Genomic DNA, 20,034 nt, shown 5'->3' with positions numbered 1-20,034 from the left:
AAGTTCCTATTTGTCTACATCCTTGCCAACATTCCTTATTTTCTGTTTTTATAATGAGAGTCATCTTAATGGCTATGAAGTGATATCTTATTGTGATTTTGGTTTGCATTTCTCTAATGGCCAATGATGCTAAGTATCTTTTTTAGGGCAAATTAGCAACTTGTATATCTCCTCTGGAAAAATGTCTATTCAAATCACTTGCCCATTTTTAAATGGAGTTGAGTTTTTTGTTAATTTATAAAACTTCCTTGTATATTCTAGACATTAAGCCCTTATCAGATATGTAATTTGCAAATATTTTCTCCCACTCTCTGGGTTGTGCTTTCACTCTCTGACACTGTCTTTTGATGACAAAAGTTTTTAATTTTGATGAAGTCCAACTTACCTATTTTTTTCTTTTGTTGTCTGTGCTTTGGGAGTCATACCCAAAAAATAATTGCTAACTTCAATGTCATGAAGGCTTTTCCCTGTTTTTCTCTCAGAGTTTTAATGGTTTTAGGTCTTATATGTAGGTATTTGGTCCATTTTAATTTTTGTATATAATGTAAGGTAAGGATTCAACTTCATTCTTTTGACGTGACTATCTGGTTTGTGGAAAAGACTGTCTTTTTGTGAAAGCACCGTTTGTGGAAAGACTGCCTTCTTACCAGTAAATGGTATTGGCAACTTTGCTGAAAGTTATTTGACCACATAGCAAGGATTTAATTCCAGTCTCTCAATTCTATCCCCATTGGTCTGTATGTCTGCTTTATGCCAGTATATCACTCTTTTGATTACTGTAGCTTTATAGTAAGTTTTGAAATCAGGAAGTGTGAGACTTCCAAATTTATTCTCCTTTTTCAAAATTGTTTTGGATATGTGTGGTCCCTTGTATTCCTATGATTTTTAAGATAGGGTTTTCTATTTTGCAACAATAACCTCATAAGTATTATGGGAATTTGATAAGAACTGCAGATTGCATTGAAGGTGTAGATCACTTTGGGTATTACTGTCATCTTAATAATATTGTCTTCTGGCCGGGCACGGTGGCTCATGCCTGTAATCCCAGCACTTTGGGAGGCCAAGGCAGACGAATCACTTGAGGTCAGGAGTTTGAGACCAGTCTGGACAACATAGTGAAACCCCGTTTCTTCTAAACATACAAAAATTAGCGGAGCATGGTGGCATGTGCCCGTAATTCCAGCTACTAGGGAGACTGAGTCAGGAGAATTGTTTGAACCTGGGAGGCGGAGGTTGCAGTGAGCTGAGATTGCGCCACTGCACAGCCTGGGTGACAGAGGAAGACTCAATCTCAAAAAAAAACCAAAAAAAACAAAAAAAAAACAAGTTATCTTCTAATCCATGAACATGAGATGTCTTTCCATTTATTTATGTCTTCTTAATTGTTTTCAGCATTATATGGTAGTTTTCAGTATACAAGTCTTTTGCCTTTTGCCTTCTTGGTTAAATTTATTCCTAAATATTTTGTTCTTTTGATGCCATTGTAAATGGAACTGTTTTCTTAATTCTTTTCAGATAGCTCACTACCAGTGCATAGATAATGTAACCAATTTTTGTGTGTTCATTTTGTATCCTGCAACTTTGCTAAATTTGTTTATTATATCTAACAGTTGTTTTGTGGAATCATTAGGGTTTTCTTCATATAAGATAATGTCACCTCTTGGCAGATAATTTTATTTCTTCCTTTCCAGTTTGGATGTTAACTATCTATCATCTACCTGTCTTCTATTCTAACTGGTCCAGATAGATTTTGAATACTATTTTGACTAGAAGTTATCTAAACAGGTGTCCTTGTATTGCTCCTGATCTTAAGGAAAACATTTTTAATCTTTTACCATTGAATATGATGTTAGTTGTGGATTTTTTGTATTTGGCTTTTTATCATGATGTGGAAGTGCTCTATTCCTAGCTTGTTTACTGTTTTTACGTGAAAGGGTATTGAATTTGGTCAAATGCTTTGTCTGCATCAACTGAGAGGATCCAGTGGGGTTTTTTGTTGTTGTTAATTATGCTAACATGGTATATCACACTGATTGACTTTTGTCTATTGAATTATCCTTGCATTTGAGAAATAAAACTCATAAATTCATGATGTATAATTTTTTGTATGCTACTAAATTTTATTTACTAATATTTTGTTGAGGATTTTGCATCATTATTCATAAGGGATATTGGTCTGTCATTTGCTTTCTTATAGCATTTCTGACTTTAGTATCAAGATAATGCTGTCCTCATAGAATGAGTTAGGAAGTATTCCCTCCTCTTCAGTTTTTTGAAAGAATTTGAGAAGGATTAGTTTTAATTCTTCTTTAAATATTTGGTAATATTCACCCATAAAGTCGTCTGGTCCTGGATTTTTCTTTGTTGGAAAATTTTAATTAGGATTCAGTATTCATCTTAATTAGGGGTCTATTTAGATATTTCTTCATAAGTCAGTTCTGGTAGATTGTATATTTCTAACAATTTGTTCATTTCCTCTAGGTTATCCAGTTTTTTTGGTGTACAGTTGTTCACAGTGTTCTCTTGCAATGCTTTTTATTCTTTTAAAATTGGTTGTAATGTTCCCACTTTCTGTTTTGATTTTTAGCAACTTTATTATTTTTCTCTAGTCAATCTAGCTAAAGTTTTGTCATTTTTGTTCATCTAAAGTGCATCTTTTGTAAGCAGCATGTAGTTGATCATTTTTTAAAAAAAATTCATTCTGCAAATTTCTGCCTTTTGTGTGAAGAGTTTTATCAATTTGCATTTAAAATAATTACTGATAAGGAAAGACATTTCTGCCATTTTGATACCTGTTTTTTGTATGTTATACCTTTTTGCTCTTCATTTCCTCTAATTCCATCTTTTTTGTGTTTAGTTGACTTTTTGTAGGCACATGTTTTGATTCCTTTCTCTTTTCTTCATGCATGCACCATAGATATTTTCTTTGTGATTACCAAGCAAATAATATATAACATCTTAAAGTTATAACAGTTTAATTTGAATTGACACCAACTCAACTTCAATCCATCCAAAAAGTATACTCTTATGCAGCACCCTCTAACTTATCCCTGTCATTAACATCACAAATCATGTCTTTATATATTGTGTGTCCATAACATAAATTTGTAATTATTTTTATATATTTGTCTTTTGAGTATTATAGATACAAAGAGCAGAGTTACAAACCAAAATTATAATAATAATGGCTTTTATATTTGCCCATGGACTTATCTTTGCCAGAGATCTTTATTTCCTCATATGGTTGAAGTTACTGTCTAGCATTCCTTCATTTTAACCTGGAGAATTCTGGGTTTTTTTGTTTGTTTGACGGTGTCTTGCTCTGTAGCCAGGCTGGAGTGCAGTGGCGTGATCTCGGCTCACTGAAACCTCCTCATCTTCGGTTTCAGTGATTCCCCTGCCTCAGCCTCCTGAGTAGCTGGGACTATAGGCGTGTACCACCATGCCTGTCTAATTTTTTGTATTTTTGTAGAGACGGGGTTTCACCATGTTGGCCAGGATGGTCTTGATTTCCTGACCTCGTGATCTACCTGCCTAGCCTCCCGAAGTGCTTGGATTACAGGCGTGAGCCACTGCGCCCAGCCTAGAAGTTTTAACAGGGCGGGCCTACTAGTAATGCTGTGATTGCCAGGAGTTTTTCATATTCTTTTCATACTGGCTTTTGCTGGAGCACTCCTTTGACAGTTTCACAAAACTTTCTTACCATTTGAAGAGAGACTTTTCCTAATTAGGTATTCTCTTGGTTTCTATAAATCTGTGACTATTTTCTGAAGCTCTCACAAAGTTGGTTCTGATAGATTATTCTAACTTTTTTCAACGTTTCTGTCAGGGAATGAGAGTTTGGATGTTTTCAGTTTGCCATTTTGTTCGTGTTTGCCTGATGCCTTTAAGGAGTGATTCAAAAGCTACCACAGAACACTTTGGTTTTATCTTATTAGAAAATAGTCACTTAACCACACTACCACTACCTTTCACACATATTCTAGCTTCTTCCACATTCTGATGATCTTTGTCACCATTTGACATTGCAAATTTAATAATAAGCACATCACAAGGCAGCCATATTGCCTATATGGTACTAGTTCCATTTGTCTTTCCATCTTGTTATACAAAAGATGGTATAAGAAATTACAACTATGTCCTCAAGGAACTGTTCACATATCATCTAGTTTATCTTATGAAAATTCACAGTAGTGGAAAGCCTATATGTATTTTGTTTCATGAGTAGGTAAAGGGAAATATATGAAACATTACAAAATTAATGTTGTCTGATGGAGTAAAAACACGAAATTTAAAGATACACTTAATTGACATGTAGATTGATTGAGTAGAATGAACTTAAGTTGAGAAAGACTACTCCTTCTTTGAATTTCCTGTTTTTTAACAGAACTATACAGTTGAAATATTTTAATTCTTAGATTGTGTTCTACTGTATCCAAACATAAATCTATACTTACCGACCACTTTGTTTAAATCAAATTGAATTATTAGGTCGCTAATTGACGGGTACATTGCTGGAAGATTTTCTGCTGTATCTGGAAGTTCTGAGGCTGCTTCATTTTTAACTGTAAGAATAACAGATTGTCAAAGTAGTTGATTTAAAAAACTAACATTTTGTGAAACACCTAGCAATGCATGTAACCAAGAAGGTGAAAGATCTCTACAACGAGAACTGCAAAAACACTGCAAAAGAAATCAGAAATGGCACAAATAAATGAAAAAACAGTCCATGCTAACGGATTGAGAGAATCTATGTCATTAAATGGCCATACTGCCCAAAGCAATTTACAGGTTCAGTGGAGTCCTATCAAACTACCAATGTCATTTTTAACAGAATTAGGAGAAGCTATTCTAAAATTCATATTAATCCAAAAAGAAGCCTAATAGCCAAAGCAATCCTAAGCAAAAAGAACAAAGTTGAAGGCATCATACTACCTGACTTGAAACTATATTACAGGGCTACAGTAACCAAAACAGCATTGTACTGGTACAAAAACAGACACATAGACCAACTGAACAGAGTAGAGAACCCAGAAATAAAGCCACATACCTACAATCATATGATCTTTGAGAATCCCAGAAAAAATAAGCAATAGGGACTCCTTACTCAATAAATGATGCTGGGATAGCTGGCAAGCCATATGCAGAAGAATGAAATTGGACCCCTGCTTTTTATCATATACAAAAATTTAGTCAAGAAGGATTAAAGATTTAAATGTAAGACTTCACACTATAACAATCCTAGAAGAAAGCCTAGTAAATACCCTTCTCAATATCAGCCTTGGCAAAGAATGTATGGCTATCTCTTCAAAAGCAATTGCAATAAAAACAGAAATTGACAAATGGGATCTAGTTAAACTAAAAATATTTTGCACAGCAAAAGGAACTATCAACGGATTAGACAGACAACCTATAGAATAAGAGAAAAATATCCATGAACTATGCATCTAACAAAGGTCTAGAATCTATAAGGAACTTAAACCAACAAGCAAAAAACAAATAACTCCATTATAAAGTGGGGCAAAGGACATAAACAGAATCGTCTCAAAAGAAGACATACAAGTGGCCAAGAAACATATGAAAAAATGCTCCACATCACTAATCATCAGAGAAATGCAATTTAAAACCACAATGAGATACCATCTCACACCAGTCAGAATGGCTATTATTATTATTTTGAGACGGAGTCTCACTCTGTCACCCAGGCTGGAGTGCAGTGGCACGATCTTGGCTTACTGCAACCTCCGCCTCCCAGGTTCAAGCGATTCTCCTGTTTCAGCCTCCAGAGTAGCTGGGATTACAGGCGCATGCCACCATACCTGGCTAATTTTTTTTTTTTGTATTTTTAGTAGAGATGGGGTTTCACCATGTTGGCCTGGTTGGTTTCGAACTCTTGATCTCAAGTGATCCACCCACCTTGGCCTCCCAAAGTGCTGGGATGACAGGCATGAGCCACCACACCCGGCCCAGAATAGCTATTATTAAAAAATAAAAGATAAAAACAGATGGCAAGTCTGTGGAGAAAAGGGGACATGTACACACTGTTGGTGGGAATGTAAATTAGTCTAAACACTTGGAGAGCAGTTTGGAGATTTCTCAAAGAACCAAGAGTTGAAATACCATTTGACTCGGCAATCCCATTCCTGGCTATATACCCAAAGGAAAATAAATTGTTCTACCAAATGGACACATGCATCCATACGTTCACCACAGTGCCATTCATAATAGCAAAGACACAGAATCAACGTAGGTGCTCATCAATGGTGAACTGGATATAGAAAATGTGGTACATATATACCACGGAATAATAAACAGCAATAAAAAAGAACAAAATCATGTCTTTTGCAGCAACATGGATGCAGCTGGAGGCCATTATCCTGAGGGAGCTAATGCAGAAACAGAAAACCAAATACTGCATCTCTTCCCTTATATGTGGGAGATAAACACTGGGTAAACACAGACATAGAGACTGTGGAATACTAAAAGGGGGAGGAAGAAGGGGTAAAATGACCTCTTGGGTATTATGCTATCTGGGTGATGCATTCAGTCATACCACAGACCTCAGCATCACACAACAGACTTTGTAACTAATCTGCATGTGTACCAGCTGCTTCTAAGATAGAAGCTGAAAAAGTAAAAAAAAAGTACACATAGTAAAAAACAACAAAAAAACCCTAACATTTTGTTTGAGGCAGAAGTATAGTACATAGTACTAATTACAGATATTTTACCTCCCAATCATCTAATCATCTAACCTTATTTACTTTGCAATTTAACATACTAATTATTCAATTGAATACAAATATGTTAAATAATTTCAAATTCATACAAAATAGCTACTATATGCCATCGATTATACTAAGTACTTTTGAAGTATTATCTCATTTAATCATTATAATAATTGAAGAAAATAAGTATTTTATCTCCATTTAACAGATGAGGGAAATAGAACTTATTGATATTATGCATATTGTGGAAGGCCACATAGTTATTAAGTATAAAAACCTGGAATGAATTGATTCTTCTAGTTTCCAAAATCTGTTCTCCAACTAATAAACCCAAATGTCTACTGAGACTGAGTATGTTATATGAGTGTAATGAGCCTGGTGATGATAGGGATAGCATAAAGAGCAAGGTAAAATAGAGAAGTACCTGTTCTATTAAAAAAAAAACCATTATTCTTACCACTACAAATGCATGACAGATATTCTCAGGTGTTCTAAATTCCCCAAAGAAGCTAGAAATCTAGATTTTTTTTTTATTATACTTCAAGTTTTAGGGTACATGTGCACATTGTGCAGGTTAGTTACATATGTATACATGTGCCATGCTGGTGCGCTGCACCCACTAACTCGTCATCTAGCATTAGGTATATCTCCCAGTGCTATCCCTCCCCCATTCCCCCACCCCACCACAGTCCCCAGAGTGTGATATTCCCCTTCCTGTGTCCATGTGATCTCATTGTTCAATTCCCACCTATGAGTGAGAATATGCGGTGTTTGGTTTTTTGTTCTTGCGATAGTTTACTGAGAATGATGATTTCCAATTTCATCCATGTCCCTACAAAGGACATGAACTCATCATTTTTTATGGCTGCATAGTATTCCATGGTGTATATGTGCCACATTTTCTTAATCCAGTCTATCATTGTTGGACATTTGGGTTGGTTCCAAGTCTTTGCTATTGTGAATAATGCCGCAATAAATATACGTGTGCATGTGTCTTTATAGCAGCATGATAATTTTCAAAATTTCAAAATATTTGCAGATAGTTTAAGACATATATTCATGTGTGAAGGACAAATCTTCAGCTAGTACTACAAAAAAATTATCTGTCTTTAGAAAGGGATTAATTCTAATATATGGGTGCAATTTAAGGGCCAATCACTGGTATATTTCCTTCGAAAATATGATAATTTACCCACCAATGTATCTCTCTATGATCTAGGACCATGGAAAAGCAATTTTGGATTATATAGTATATAGGTTTATTCCTCACCAAATCACTTTGGAGATCTAGAGCATTACGGTTTTTTTCTAAAAACAGATAGTTACTATAGGTATTTAAACTTGTGCTCTTAGTAATCTTCAAAGTACTCAACGTCAGAAAGTCATACAGTAATCTTGCAAAGTCTCTGGTTATTTTCTATTTTTATATCCTTAAGAAGATGGCAGAATAAAGCTCCCCTTTGCCCTCACTTTTCCTATAAAACTCCCAGAAACAAAAGAAAAAAAGTAAGAAAATTTCCATAGCCCTCTGATACTAAAAGTACTGTCATGAAATCTGGCACAAGGCTTTGGAGAATACTAAGAGATAATAGTCATGCTGTCTTGAACCTATAACAGTACACAGGTTTTCCTCCAAAGTGTCATCACTGAAAGGCATGCCTAATATGCCTTTATAGCAGTAATCATATTTAGGGTCCTAAGAAAGGAGAGTTGAAGAAGAAACCACACTGATGGACCATTTCTATTGCTTGAGACAGAGATTCCTAATAGAAGTTAGGAATGCTGACAGTAAAAATGGCTAAAAACAGAGGGAGGAAGATAGCGCAAAACTGCAACAGACAAAAGACACATATGTGAGTTGCAATAGCTTCTTTAACAACAACAACAAAAGATTTAATAATATGATACCAAACCTGGACAGAATCTATCCATTTCCCACAAAATCTCATCCTCCATCAATCTACCACACATATACATTCCACTAACCACTTTATTATTTAGAAGTTCCCATTCAAAAATTAATAATAATCCAACCAGCATGAGAAGCCAGCACAGAAACTGCAACAATCACAAATAAACCTAAAAGATAAATAACCAGGAAAATCACAGAGTGGTGTAAGCAAGATGGCAGACTAGAAGATCTCCCAGCATCACTTCCCCTAGAAAAAAAATACAACTAGAAATTATTCAAAGACAAGAATACCATCCTGAATTCACCAAAACTCAAGGGAGTAGTGGAGAAACTTCCTGGACACACAGAATCAAGAAAATCTGATGCTGGTAAGAGGAATAATCACTTTTAAGGGTGTCACCCCCTCCTGCAAGCAGGGCTAACACCACTCACAGAATTTCCCTAGACACATGGTTCCCAGTGTGGGAGGAGGAAATTGGAGGTGAATGTTCAGTCTCCCAGCTGGTTATAGAATCTTCACAGGAAGCTCACTCCAGTCCTGTCCCATGGAACATTTAAAGTGCAGGGAGGACTGAACCACCTGGGATGAACTGTGGTTAAAAAAAAAAAAAGGGGAAGGTTCTAATTGCATCGACTGGCATGTGAATTTTTGTAGGTGTTCTGTGCTCCAATCAGTGAAGATACCACATTGAGTAAAGTGGATGGCCCATAGTGCTGAAGAAGACACAATCCACAGGAAGGACCAAATTCCTGGCTGGATTTCCCACAAAATCCACATATTCATGTGAAGCCTCCTCTTGATCTGGAAACATCAACATGTTTGGCAATTAAGTTCTGGTGCTCACTTAAAAATAAAAACTATTTATATTAATAGTTTTTGTAATTGATTGAAGAACAATGGCAGGGCAGCAACATAGTTCTAGAGCAGTGTTTAAGTTACAGGGCTCACTATAAGTCTTCCACAGACTTGAAAACAACAGGGCAGTGATTTATTTCCAGTGCACCATTTAATTTCCAGTTCTCACTATAAGTCTTCCCCAGACTCAGAAGCAAGAGCAGACCAGTAATTAAGTTCTAGTATTAAGCAATAAAGACCTAACACTATCAAAAACACCTGCAAAAGCTCAATGTGCAGGCATCAACATAAAAATCAAGACTTGTAAAAACTCAGGAAAATATGACACCACCAAAAAAGAGCAAAAAAACCTTCAGTAATGGACTCAGAAAAATTGAAGATCTATAAAATGGCTGATAATTCAGAATAATCTACTTTTAAAAGTTAAAGGAATTACAAAAAAATACAGATAGAAAACTAAATGAAATTTGGAAAACAATTCAGGAACAAAATTAGAAATTTAACCAAGAAATAGAAACAATTTTTTAAGACCAAAGAGAAACTCTCAAAATAAAGAATATGTAAATTGAATAAAAAATTCAAAAAAAGCTTAACAGCAGACTTAAACAGGAAAAAAAATCAGTGAACTCAAAGACAGAACATATGAAATTATACAATTAGAGGAGCAAAAAGAAAAGTGAATAAAAAACAATGAAGAAGGCCTATCAGAATTACGAGACAACATCAAATAAGCTAACCTCAGCATAATAGGAGTTGCTAAATGATAGAAGAGAGAAAAAGGCCTAGCAAGCATATTTAAGGAAATAGTAACTGAAATTATCCCAAACATGGTGACAGAAAACAGCATCCAGGTATAGGAAGCTCAGGTCACCAGTCAAATTCAAGCCAAAATGTAATCACCAAGGCACATCATAATCAAATTAACAAGTTAAGGACAGAATATTAAAAGTAGCAAGAGAAAAGAAACATATCAAAATTAATGAAGTCTTAATACAACTTTCAGTTGATTTCTCAGCAGAAACCCTGGAGATCAGGAGAAGATGGGATAATGAGATTGACACTGTGAACTTTTTTTCAAGAAGTGATGCCGAACCTGAACAGGAAAACCAAAGGAATCTATGGACCCTTTGAAAGAAGCAAAAGGCTGCAGCCTACACTGCGAGTCAGGTGAAGGGCTCCCAGTCCCCAGAATGTGAGAGGTCGGAAGGTTGCCTCTGGCATACACACCCCCACCAGGGATCCTGAAAGTCCATATCACCAGGGAAGGCCCTAATCTCACCCAGTGCAGGAACTGACTTGGGGAGGATAATGGAATATAAAAGTAGGAGCAGCATGATCCTTGCATGCACTCCCAGATTCCAGTGTGGACCAAGGGCAGCCATTCCTTACTGATCTTAACAGGGGACCCTGCAGACGACAGTCAAAAAGTTCAGGTGTTGGTCACAGGTTGAAAGAAGCTCCCAACACGGTTTCACAATATAACACAAACTCTCTTGGCTAGGGCCATGGTTGGGGAGAGTGAAAAGCAGACTTTGAGTACAGGAGTCCTGAGTGTTGTAGCTGTGGATTCAAGAGCTGGGTGCCTAGCTTTGCAGTGAACAGGGAGGAGTGTGGCCTAAAAGCCATGGTTGCTATTTCCCTGGGGAAAGTTTATGACTCCCAGTAGCTGTGAGTTCTGATTACAGGCTGACTGGGACTCAGCTTTCTGCTGTCAGTGGAACACTGTGGGAGTGGATCTGCCTCACCAAATGAGTGGGAACTATGTGGGGCTTACCACTGCCTGCTACTCCCCACTCCCTGCACAAACTCTTCTGCATAGCAGAGGCAGCAATGCTCCCCTGTGGAACATCAACCCAGTGGTCTGAGACCACTCCCATTCCCCAACACCCACAGGGGTTGCTGCTTGCCCTGCACAGGGAGACTCAGAGTACAAACCCACCAGACCCAGTTCCCACCTGGCTTTGCCCTGCCACACATCCTGGCTTAACACAAAGGATAGAATCTCTTGAAAGCTACATGGCCCTGCCCATTGCCTATGAAATCAGAGTACCCCACCCTGGACAACATAAGGCAAGCAAAAATTCCACTACTACTCCCACAGTTGGAAGCACTGCCATCTGGCTGGAGGCCAGCCAAGACAATCCACTACAGTATCTCCTGGCAGAATAGCACTGCACCCAAGAAGAAGAAAATAGCTGCATGATCTCAGCTATCACTACTGCCTGCACCACTCTGCTAACCAGGAGGTCCTTAGTCTGCCTGTGGGACCAGTTCATTACTACTCTTAACTGGTGTTCAAAAAAGCCAACACACTGAGGCTATCAATAACCAAGTACTTTCACAGAGTCTATGTGACTCTCCTGCCACCCCCATTAAAGCTGGTGCTGGTACCCACTACTGGAAAACTTGAGGACAGGTCATATCACCTTGCAGACATGCCCCATCAGCAGCCTGGAATGTGGCAACTTCACTGGGCAGTTAGAAGAAATCTAAAAGCAGTAAGACAAAAGCATGAGGTAACCTAAAAAGAAAAAAACTATCAGACTAACAGCAGATTTCTCAGCAGAAACCATATTAGCCAGAAGGGATTGGGAAACTATCTTCAACATCCTTAAACAGAATAACTGTCAACCAAGAATACTGTATCCTGCAAAACTAAGTTTCAATCTCCTTAAACAGAATAACTGTCAGCCAAGAGTTTTGTATCCTGCAAAACTAAGTTTTATAAATGAAGAAGAAATAAAGTCATTTTCAGACAAATGCTGAGGAAATTTGTCACTACCAAATCAGCCCTATAAGAAATATTAAAGGAATTCTAAACCTTGAAACAAAAGCACAATATGCACTGAAATATAATTTCTTGAAAGCTGAAAACTCACAGGCCTATAAAATAAAAACACAATTTAAAAAATCAGGTAACAATTAACATGATGAAGAAAACAGTACCTCACATCTTAATATTAACATTGAATGTAAATGGCCTAAATGATCCACTTAAAATATTCAGAATGGATAAAAAATCACAACCCAAATCTCTGCTGTCTTCAATAGACTTACCTAACATAGAAGGATTCATATAAACTCAAGGAAAAGGGAATTAAAAAGGTATTGTACACAAATGGAAACCAAAAGTGAGCAAGAGTAGCTATTCTTGTATCAGACAAAATACTTCAAAGCAACAACAGTAAAAAGAAAAAAAGACAATGATGGTCAGTACATAATGATAAAAAGATCAATTCAACAAGCAGATATTACAATCCTAAATTTATATGTACCAAACACTGGAGCTCCTAGCATCATAAGATAGCAAAACAATAATAGTAGGACTTCAATAGACCACTGATAACACTCAAAAGATCTTTGAGACAAAAAGTCAACAGAGAAACAACGGACTTAAATGACATGCTAGAACAAATAAACTTAATGGGTATCTATAGTAAATTCTATTCAAGATCTTCAGAATAAACATTCTTCTCATCAGCACATGGAACATTCTCCAAGACAGACCATATAATAGGCCACAAAACAAATCCTGATAAATTTTATAAAATCAAAATCTTATCAAGTGTCTTCTCAGACCACAAAGAATAAAACTAGAAATCAATTCCAAGAGGAATTCTTGAAACTATACAAATACATGGAAATTAAACAACATGCTCCTGAATGATATTTGGGTCAATAACGAAATTAAGATGGAAATTTAAAAATTTTCTGAAACAAGTGAAAATGGAGATACAATATACCAAAACCTCTTGAATACAGCAAAAGCAGTGCTAAGAGAGAAGTTAACATTAAATGCCTACATCAAATAAATATAAATATCACAAGTTAACAACCCAACGTTGCTCCTGAAGGATCTAGAAACACAAGAACAAACCAAACCCAAAACTAGCAGAAGAAAAGAAATAACAAAGATAAGAGCAGAACTAAATGAAAATGAGACTTAAAAATAATACAATGTAAATTAGTTCAACCATTGTGGAAGACAGTGTGGTGACTCCTCAAGGATCTAGAACCAGAAATACCATTTGATCCAGCAATCCCATTACTGGGTATATACCTAAAGGATTATAAATCATTCTACTATAAAGACACATGCACATGTATGTTTATTGCGGCACTATTCACAATAGCAAAGACTAGGAACAAACCCAAATGCCCATCAATGATAGACTGGATAAAGAAAATGTGGCACATATACACCATGGAATACTATGCAGACATAAAAAGGATGAGTTCATGTCTTTTGCAGGGACATGGATAAAGCTGGAAACCACCATTCTCAGCAAACTAACACAGGAGCAGAAAACCAAACACTGCATGTTCTCACTCATAAGTGGGAGTTGAACAATGAGAAAACATGGACACTGGGAGGGGAACATCACACACTGGGGCCTGTTGAGGGGTGGGGGGCTTGGGGATGGATAGCATTAGCAGAAATACCTAATGTAGATGACGGGTTGATGGGTGCAGCAAACCACCATGGCACATGTATACCTACGTAACAAAACTGCACGTTCTGCACATGTATCCCAGAACTTAAAGTATAATTTCAAAAAGAAATAATAATAATAATACAATGGATCAACCAAATGAAAACTCAGTTCCCTGAAAAGATTTTTAAAAATTGATAAATCACTATCTAGACTAACCAAAAAAAAATCCAAGTAAACATAATCAGATATGAAAAAGGAGACATAAGAACTGATACCACAGAAATTTAAAAAGATTATCAGAGTACATGAATAACTATATGCTCACAAAGAGAAAAACCTAGAGGAAATGGATAAATTTCTGTAAACATACAACCTTCCACGACTGAACCAGGAAGAAACAGAAATCCTGAACAGACCAATAAGGAGTAGTAAGATTGAACTAGTAATAAAAATCTCCCAATAAAAAAAAAGCTCAGAACTGGATGGATTGACAGCCAAATTCTACCAAATGTGCAAAGAGGAACTGGTACCAATCCTGTTGAAACTGTTCCAAAAATTATAAAAAGAGAGAATCCTCTACAATTCATTATACGAAGCCACCCTGTTACCAAAGCTGAACAAGGACACACAAAAAAACTACAGACCAAAATCCTCTGCTGATTATAGTTGAAAAAATCTTCAACAAAATGCTAGCAAACCAAATCCAATAGCACATCAAAAATATAATATACCATGATTAAGTGGGGTTTATTCCAGGGATTCAAGGATGGTTCAATATATGCAAATAAATAAATGTTATTCAACACAAAAAGAGAATTAAAAACAAAACACTTTTGATAATCTCGACATATTTAAAAATGGCATTTGATAAAGTTCAGCATTTCTTCAGGATAAAAATCTTCAGTCAACTAGGTATAGAAGAAACATACCTCAAAATAATAAAGGCCATATATGACAAACCCACAGCCAACATCGTACTAAACACACAAAAGTTAAAAGCAATCTTCTAAGAAGTAGAACAAGGATGCCCACTTTCACCACTCCTATTCAACGTAATACTGGAAGTCCTACCCAGAGCTGTGAGGCAAGAGAAAAAAATAAAAGGCATCAAAATAGGACAATAGGAAGTCAAATCATCTTTGTTCACTGATAATATGATCTAATATCTAGAAAAACCTAAAGACTTCTCCAAATCTCTTAGATTTCATAAACAAATTCAGTAAAGTTTCAGGATACAAAATCAATGTACAAAAATTAGTGGCATTTCTGTATACCTTAACAAGCTGAGAATTAAATCAAGAAGGCAATCCCACTTACAATAGCTACAAATAAAATACTTAGGAATATATTTAACCAAGGAGGAGAAAGACCACTACAAGGAAAAATACAGAATACTGATGAAAGAAAGGAATTAATGTTATTTAAATAGCCATACTTGTAATGTTAAATACAAGTACTAAATACATACTTGTAATATTTAAATAATGTTATTTAAATAGCCATACAATCTTGTAAGCATACTGCATTCTTTTCCATTTTTTTCTTCTCTGTATTTTCAAAAGCCTGTCTTTGAGTCAGTAATCCTTTCTTCTACTTGATCACTTCTGCTGTTGAGATACTCTGATGCATTTTTGTATATGTCCATTGAATTTCTCAACTCCAGAATTTCTGGGTGTTTTTAAAGTTATTACTTCAATCTCTTTGTTAAATTTCTCTGATATATTTCTGGATTCCTTCTCTATGTTATCTGAAGATCATTCAGCTTCCTCATAACAGCTATTTTAAATTCTCTAAGAGGTCACATATCTCCATTTTGCCAGAACTGGTTACTGATGCCTTATTTAATCAGTTTGGTGAGGTTATATTTTCCTATATATTCTTGATGCCTGTGGACATTTGTTAATGTCTGGGCATTGAAAAGTTTAGGTCTTTATGCGTCTTTGCAGTCTGGACTTGCTCGTACCCATCCTTCTTCAGACAGCTGATTTTTTGGTTCCATGAAAGTGCTCTCTTGTATGGATAGTTGTTCAATTTGATGTTCCTGCAGGGAGGAGAGGAGGATGACTCCTGGAGCATTCTTTTCAGCCATCTTGCTCTGCCTCCACTTCACAAATAAATTTTTAAAGGAATAGATACTTGTTCTATTTTGGTTTTTTAATTGCTTCTAAAAGAAGCCAAAGCAGAAAATACAATCAATAGTTTAGAAAAACACATTTTATACCACTTGGCTCCCTGAAATATATCTCATTTGGACAAAGAATCACATTTAACATGACCAGTGTATAAAAATTAGGTAAAAGGCAAAACGTAGTATGAATATAACATATCTCTTACAATCCCCAGAACAGTGGCCAAACAAAAATTTAATGGAAAAGTAATATGGTGTGCATATGTGTCCCCTCCAAATCTCATGTTGACACTTGATCACCAATATTGGACACGTGCCCAGTGGGAGGTGTGTTGGCTATGGGATAAAATTTCTCATGAATGGCTTGGTGCCCTCTCCACAGTAATGAGTGAGTTGTTACTCTATTAGTATTAGTTCCTGCAAGATCTGGTTGTTGAAAAGAGCCTGGCAGAATTGGAGCAAGATGGCTGAATGGAAGTCTACACTATTCATCCCCCTTACAGAAACATCAAATTTTAACAACTAACAATATGGAAAAAGCACCATCACAAGAACCAGAAATCAAGCGAGTAATCACAGTACCTGGTTTTAACCTCATATTGCTGAAAGGGGTACTGAAGAGAGTAGGCTGGGAGAGAGAAGGTAATGTAGCAGAAGTGGAGACCATAGGTATTTGGCCACATCATATATTTTACTTGTGCTTTCAGGGCCTGCCTGAGCACTGTCTCATGTATACCACTTCTATTTGATGATGGAGTACTACCTGCATGCCAAACTATTTGGAGGGTCAGACAACATCCAGTTCATGATGGGCAGCTCAGATTGCTTGGCAACTTGGTGGTCCATGGTTAAGTGTTCAGTTTCTACTAACACCCAATAGCAGGCCAAGAACTGTTTTACAAAAAGGATAATTATTTGCAGAGAATGAGATGGCTTTGCTCCAAGGGGCCTGCACTGTGATTCACCTATAGGAACTTGCCGAAGGCTCTGAAGAGCATCCCTATCTGCTACTGTCACTTCCAGCACCATTGGATCTGTAAGATCATGTTTCCCAAGTGGAAGAGCACCCTGTACCTGTTGCAGAACCTTCTCTTGTTCTTGGTTCCACTCAAAACTAACAGATTTCCAGGTCACTCAGTAAGTGAGTGAGCCACAGTAGCATGCCCAAATGAGGAATACGTTGCCTTAATATACAGAGAAGTCAAATAGGCATTATACCTGTTTTTTTGGGTAGTAGGAGAGGCCAGATGCAACAATTTTTCCTTATTTCAGAAGGAATATCTTGACACGTCCCATTCCACTAGACTTCTAAACATTTCATGATGTAGAAGGCCCCTAAATTTTTTGGATTCATGTCCCACCTTCTGACATGCAAATATCTTACTAATATATCTAGAGTACTTTTTACTCAAGAGGTCCAGTCAGCATATCATCAATATAATAAACAAGTATGATATCTTGTAGAAAGGCTTTCAAGTTCCTTGCAAACTAAATTATGATAGAGAGTGGGAGAACTGATATACCCTTAAGGTAGGACAGTGAAGATGCATTGCTAGACTTTCCAGCTAAAAGAAAACTGCTTCTTCACTATAGGAAAGCAGAAAATAAAGCAATCTTCCAGATCAATATTTGCATGCCAGTTACCAGGGGATACGTTAATTTGCTCAAGCAATGAAATCATTATTTAGTACAGTATCTACAATTAGAATCACCATCTATTTAAATTTATGATAATCCACTGTTATTTTCTGAGATCCACCTGTTTTCTGAACAGGACAAATAGGTGAGTTGAAGGATGTGGTTGAAATCACAACCTCTACATTTTTCAAGTCCTTGATGAAGTCACTAATCTTCCAAATCTCTCTGAGAATGTAATATTGCTTTTGGTTTAAAATTTTCCTAGGTAGAATCAGTTCTAGTAGCTTCTAATTGGCCTCTTCTACCATAATGGTCCTTACTCCACAGGTCAGGAAACCAATGTGAAAATTCTGCCAGTTGATGAGTATATTTATTAAATTATACATTCACAAACTGGGGAAATGACAAGAGGATGAGTTCAGCTTCCACTGGATCCACTGTGAGACAGATCTGTGCTAAAGTCCCATTGATCACTTGCCCTCCATAGTTTCCTTTCCAGTGGACCATCATGACATTTTTGGCCTTTTGGAATTAGTGTCAGTTCAGAGGCACTGTCCATTAATCCCTAAAAAATCTTATTATTTCCTTTTATATGTTGCGTAGTAACCCAGCAAAAAGGCCATAGGTCCCTTTGAGGAAGGCTGGGAGAAAAATTAAAGGTATAAATTTTGGGCAGTATACTAGGTCCTTCCTCAAGGTACCCTTCCTTCAAGGGGTCCTGGGTCTGTAAACTTGATCAAGTCTGGGAATTGATTGAGAGGCCATGACTGTGCTTTTATTATTTAAATTAGACTTTGTCCACTTGATCTAGAACTCTTCTGCTTATACAGATTAAGTAAGAATTTAGTAGACTGACCATTTGTGTCACTTCAACAAACACAATTATCAACTAGCCAATGCCATAGATATCTCAAGTCAGACTATTCTGATTTCTACTTTGATTTCCATTATGGTAACCATGACACTGTTGTTTCTGATGTTTAAATGCCACCACTTGGCCTCTGAGACCCAATTATTCCTATTGCATTTAAGGTTCCCATTTCAGTAGCAGCAACATCCAGTGTGATTTCTGAGCTGTAGAGAAGAGCAACCACAGGGCTGTTTGAGAATGCTGGGGCTGTCTTCACATTTCTCACAGTTGTGGTGAAAGGTGTGTCCTCTGGACCCTCCTAAGATGGGTGAGCAGATCTTAAATGATAAATCCACATTAACACTCCAATTTTCCTAGGCCTTCGAATCCCTTCCTTTTCAGTAAACCACGGCAATTCTGCATTTCAACTTCACTTAGTATAGGCCATCTTTTGGTCCATTTTCAGCCAACCAAACTGACCGTTACAGTCCTTTCTAACCTCCATGCTGCAACATTAAACCATAATCTCTGCTTAGTGATAAATAAATTATACCATATCAATAAATTTGGTGTGATCTAACTTTGTTCTTTTCATCTTCATCCTATACATGCAATATTGATTCCCAAACATATTCCCCTGATTTCTGTCTAAATAAATTAGAAAAATTATGTAGTTTTTTTGGAATGCAGTGCACCTTCTCATGAGCCATACTTTGTACTTCATCTTTAGGGGGCTGGTGGGACTTGTGTCTAATTATAGGTCTACAAGCAAAAGAGGGTGGTGGGGGTGAGTCTTGGGGAGAATCAGAAGTGTTTTGCAAGGTAACTATCTCAAGGGAGGCAATTATAGTTTCTTCGGACAAAGCAAGATTAATTTCTTCTGACAGGAATGAAAAGGCTGCTTCTGTCTTTTTATTGTATATATTTATGGGGTATGAGTGGTGTTTTGATATATGTATACATTGCAGAATGATTAAATCAAGTTAATTAATATATCTATCACCTCACATATCCCTTTTTATAGTGAGAATAAAGTCTACTCTCTTAGCAATTTTCAAGTATACAGAATATTAACTATAATGACCATGCTATACAGTAGCTGTCCAGAAATTAATACTCCTATCTAACTGAAATTTTGTGCCCTTTTGTAACATCTCCCCATTTGTCCCCCTTCCCTCAGCCTCAGGTAACCACCATTTTACCTTCCACTTCTATGAATATGACTTTTTAGATTCAACATATATGTGAGATCATGTAGAATTTTTCTTTATGTGCCTGGCTTATTTCACTTAGCATGTCTTCCAGGTTCATTCATGTTGTTGAGAATGGTAGTATCTCCTTTTTAAAAGGAAGAATACTATTCCATTGTATGAGAACACCACAATTTCTTTATCGATACATCCACTGACAGACACGTTGTTTTCATATCTTGGTTATTGTGAGTACTGTTACATGGACACGGGGATGCAGATATCTTTACTAGGTA

At 36.6% G+C, this 20,034-nt stretch overlaps 1 protein-coding gene across 42 annotated transcripts in view; it reads right to left on the bottom strand.

Moving 5' to 3' along the window:
- CCDC7 (coiled-coil domain containing 7) overlaps window positions 1-20,034 on the bottom strand; it is a 439,541-nt gene that overhangs the window by 99,323 nt on the left and 320,184 nt on the right. For 38 of the 42 annotated variants that reach the window (XM_047425743.1, XM_047425742.1, NM_001321115.2 and 35 more), the window contains one exon: window positions 4,458-4,565. The exons of the other annotated variants lie outside the window; for them this stretch is intronic. In XM_047425743.1, the coding sequence (XP_047281699.1) occupies window positions 4,458-4,565 (108 nt within the window). The remainder of the gene's footprint in view (window positions 1-4,457; window positions 4,566-20,034) is intronic. 42 annotated transcript variants of the gene reach the window in all.

Source organism: Homo sapiens, chromosome 10, assembly GCF_000001405.40.
Source record: "Homo sapiens chromosome 10, GRCh38.p14 Primary Assembly".
Lineage (NCBI taxonomy): Eukaryota > Metazoa > Chordata > Mammalia > Primates > Hominidae > Homo > Homo sapiens.
Note: the sequence above shows the minus strand (reverse complement) of the source record. Positions and strands in the feature narration are given on the sequence as shown.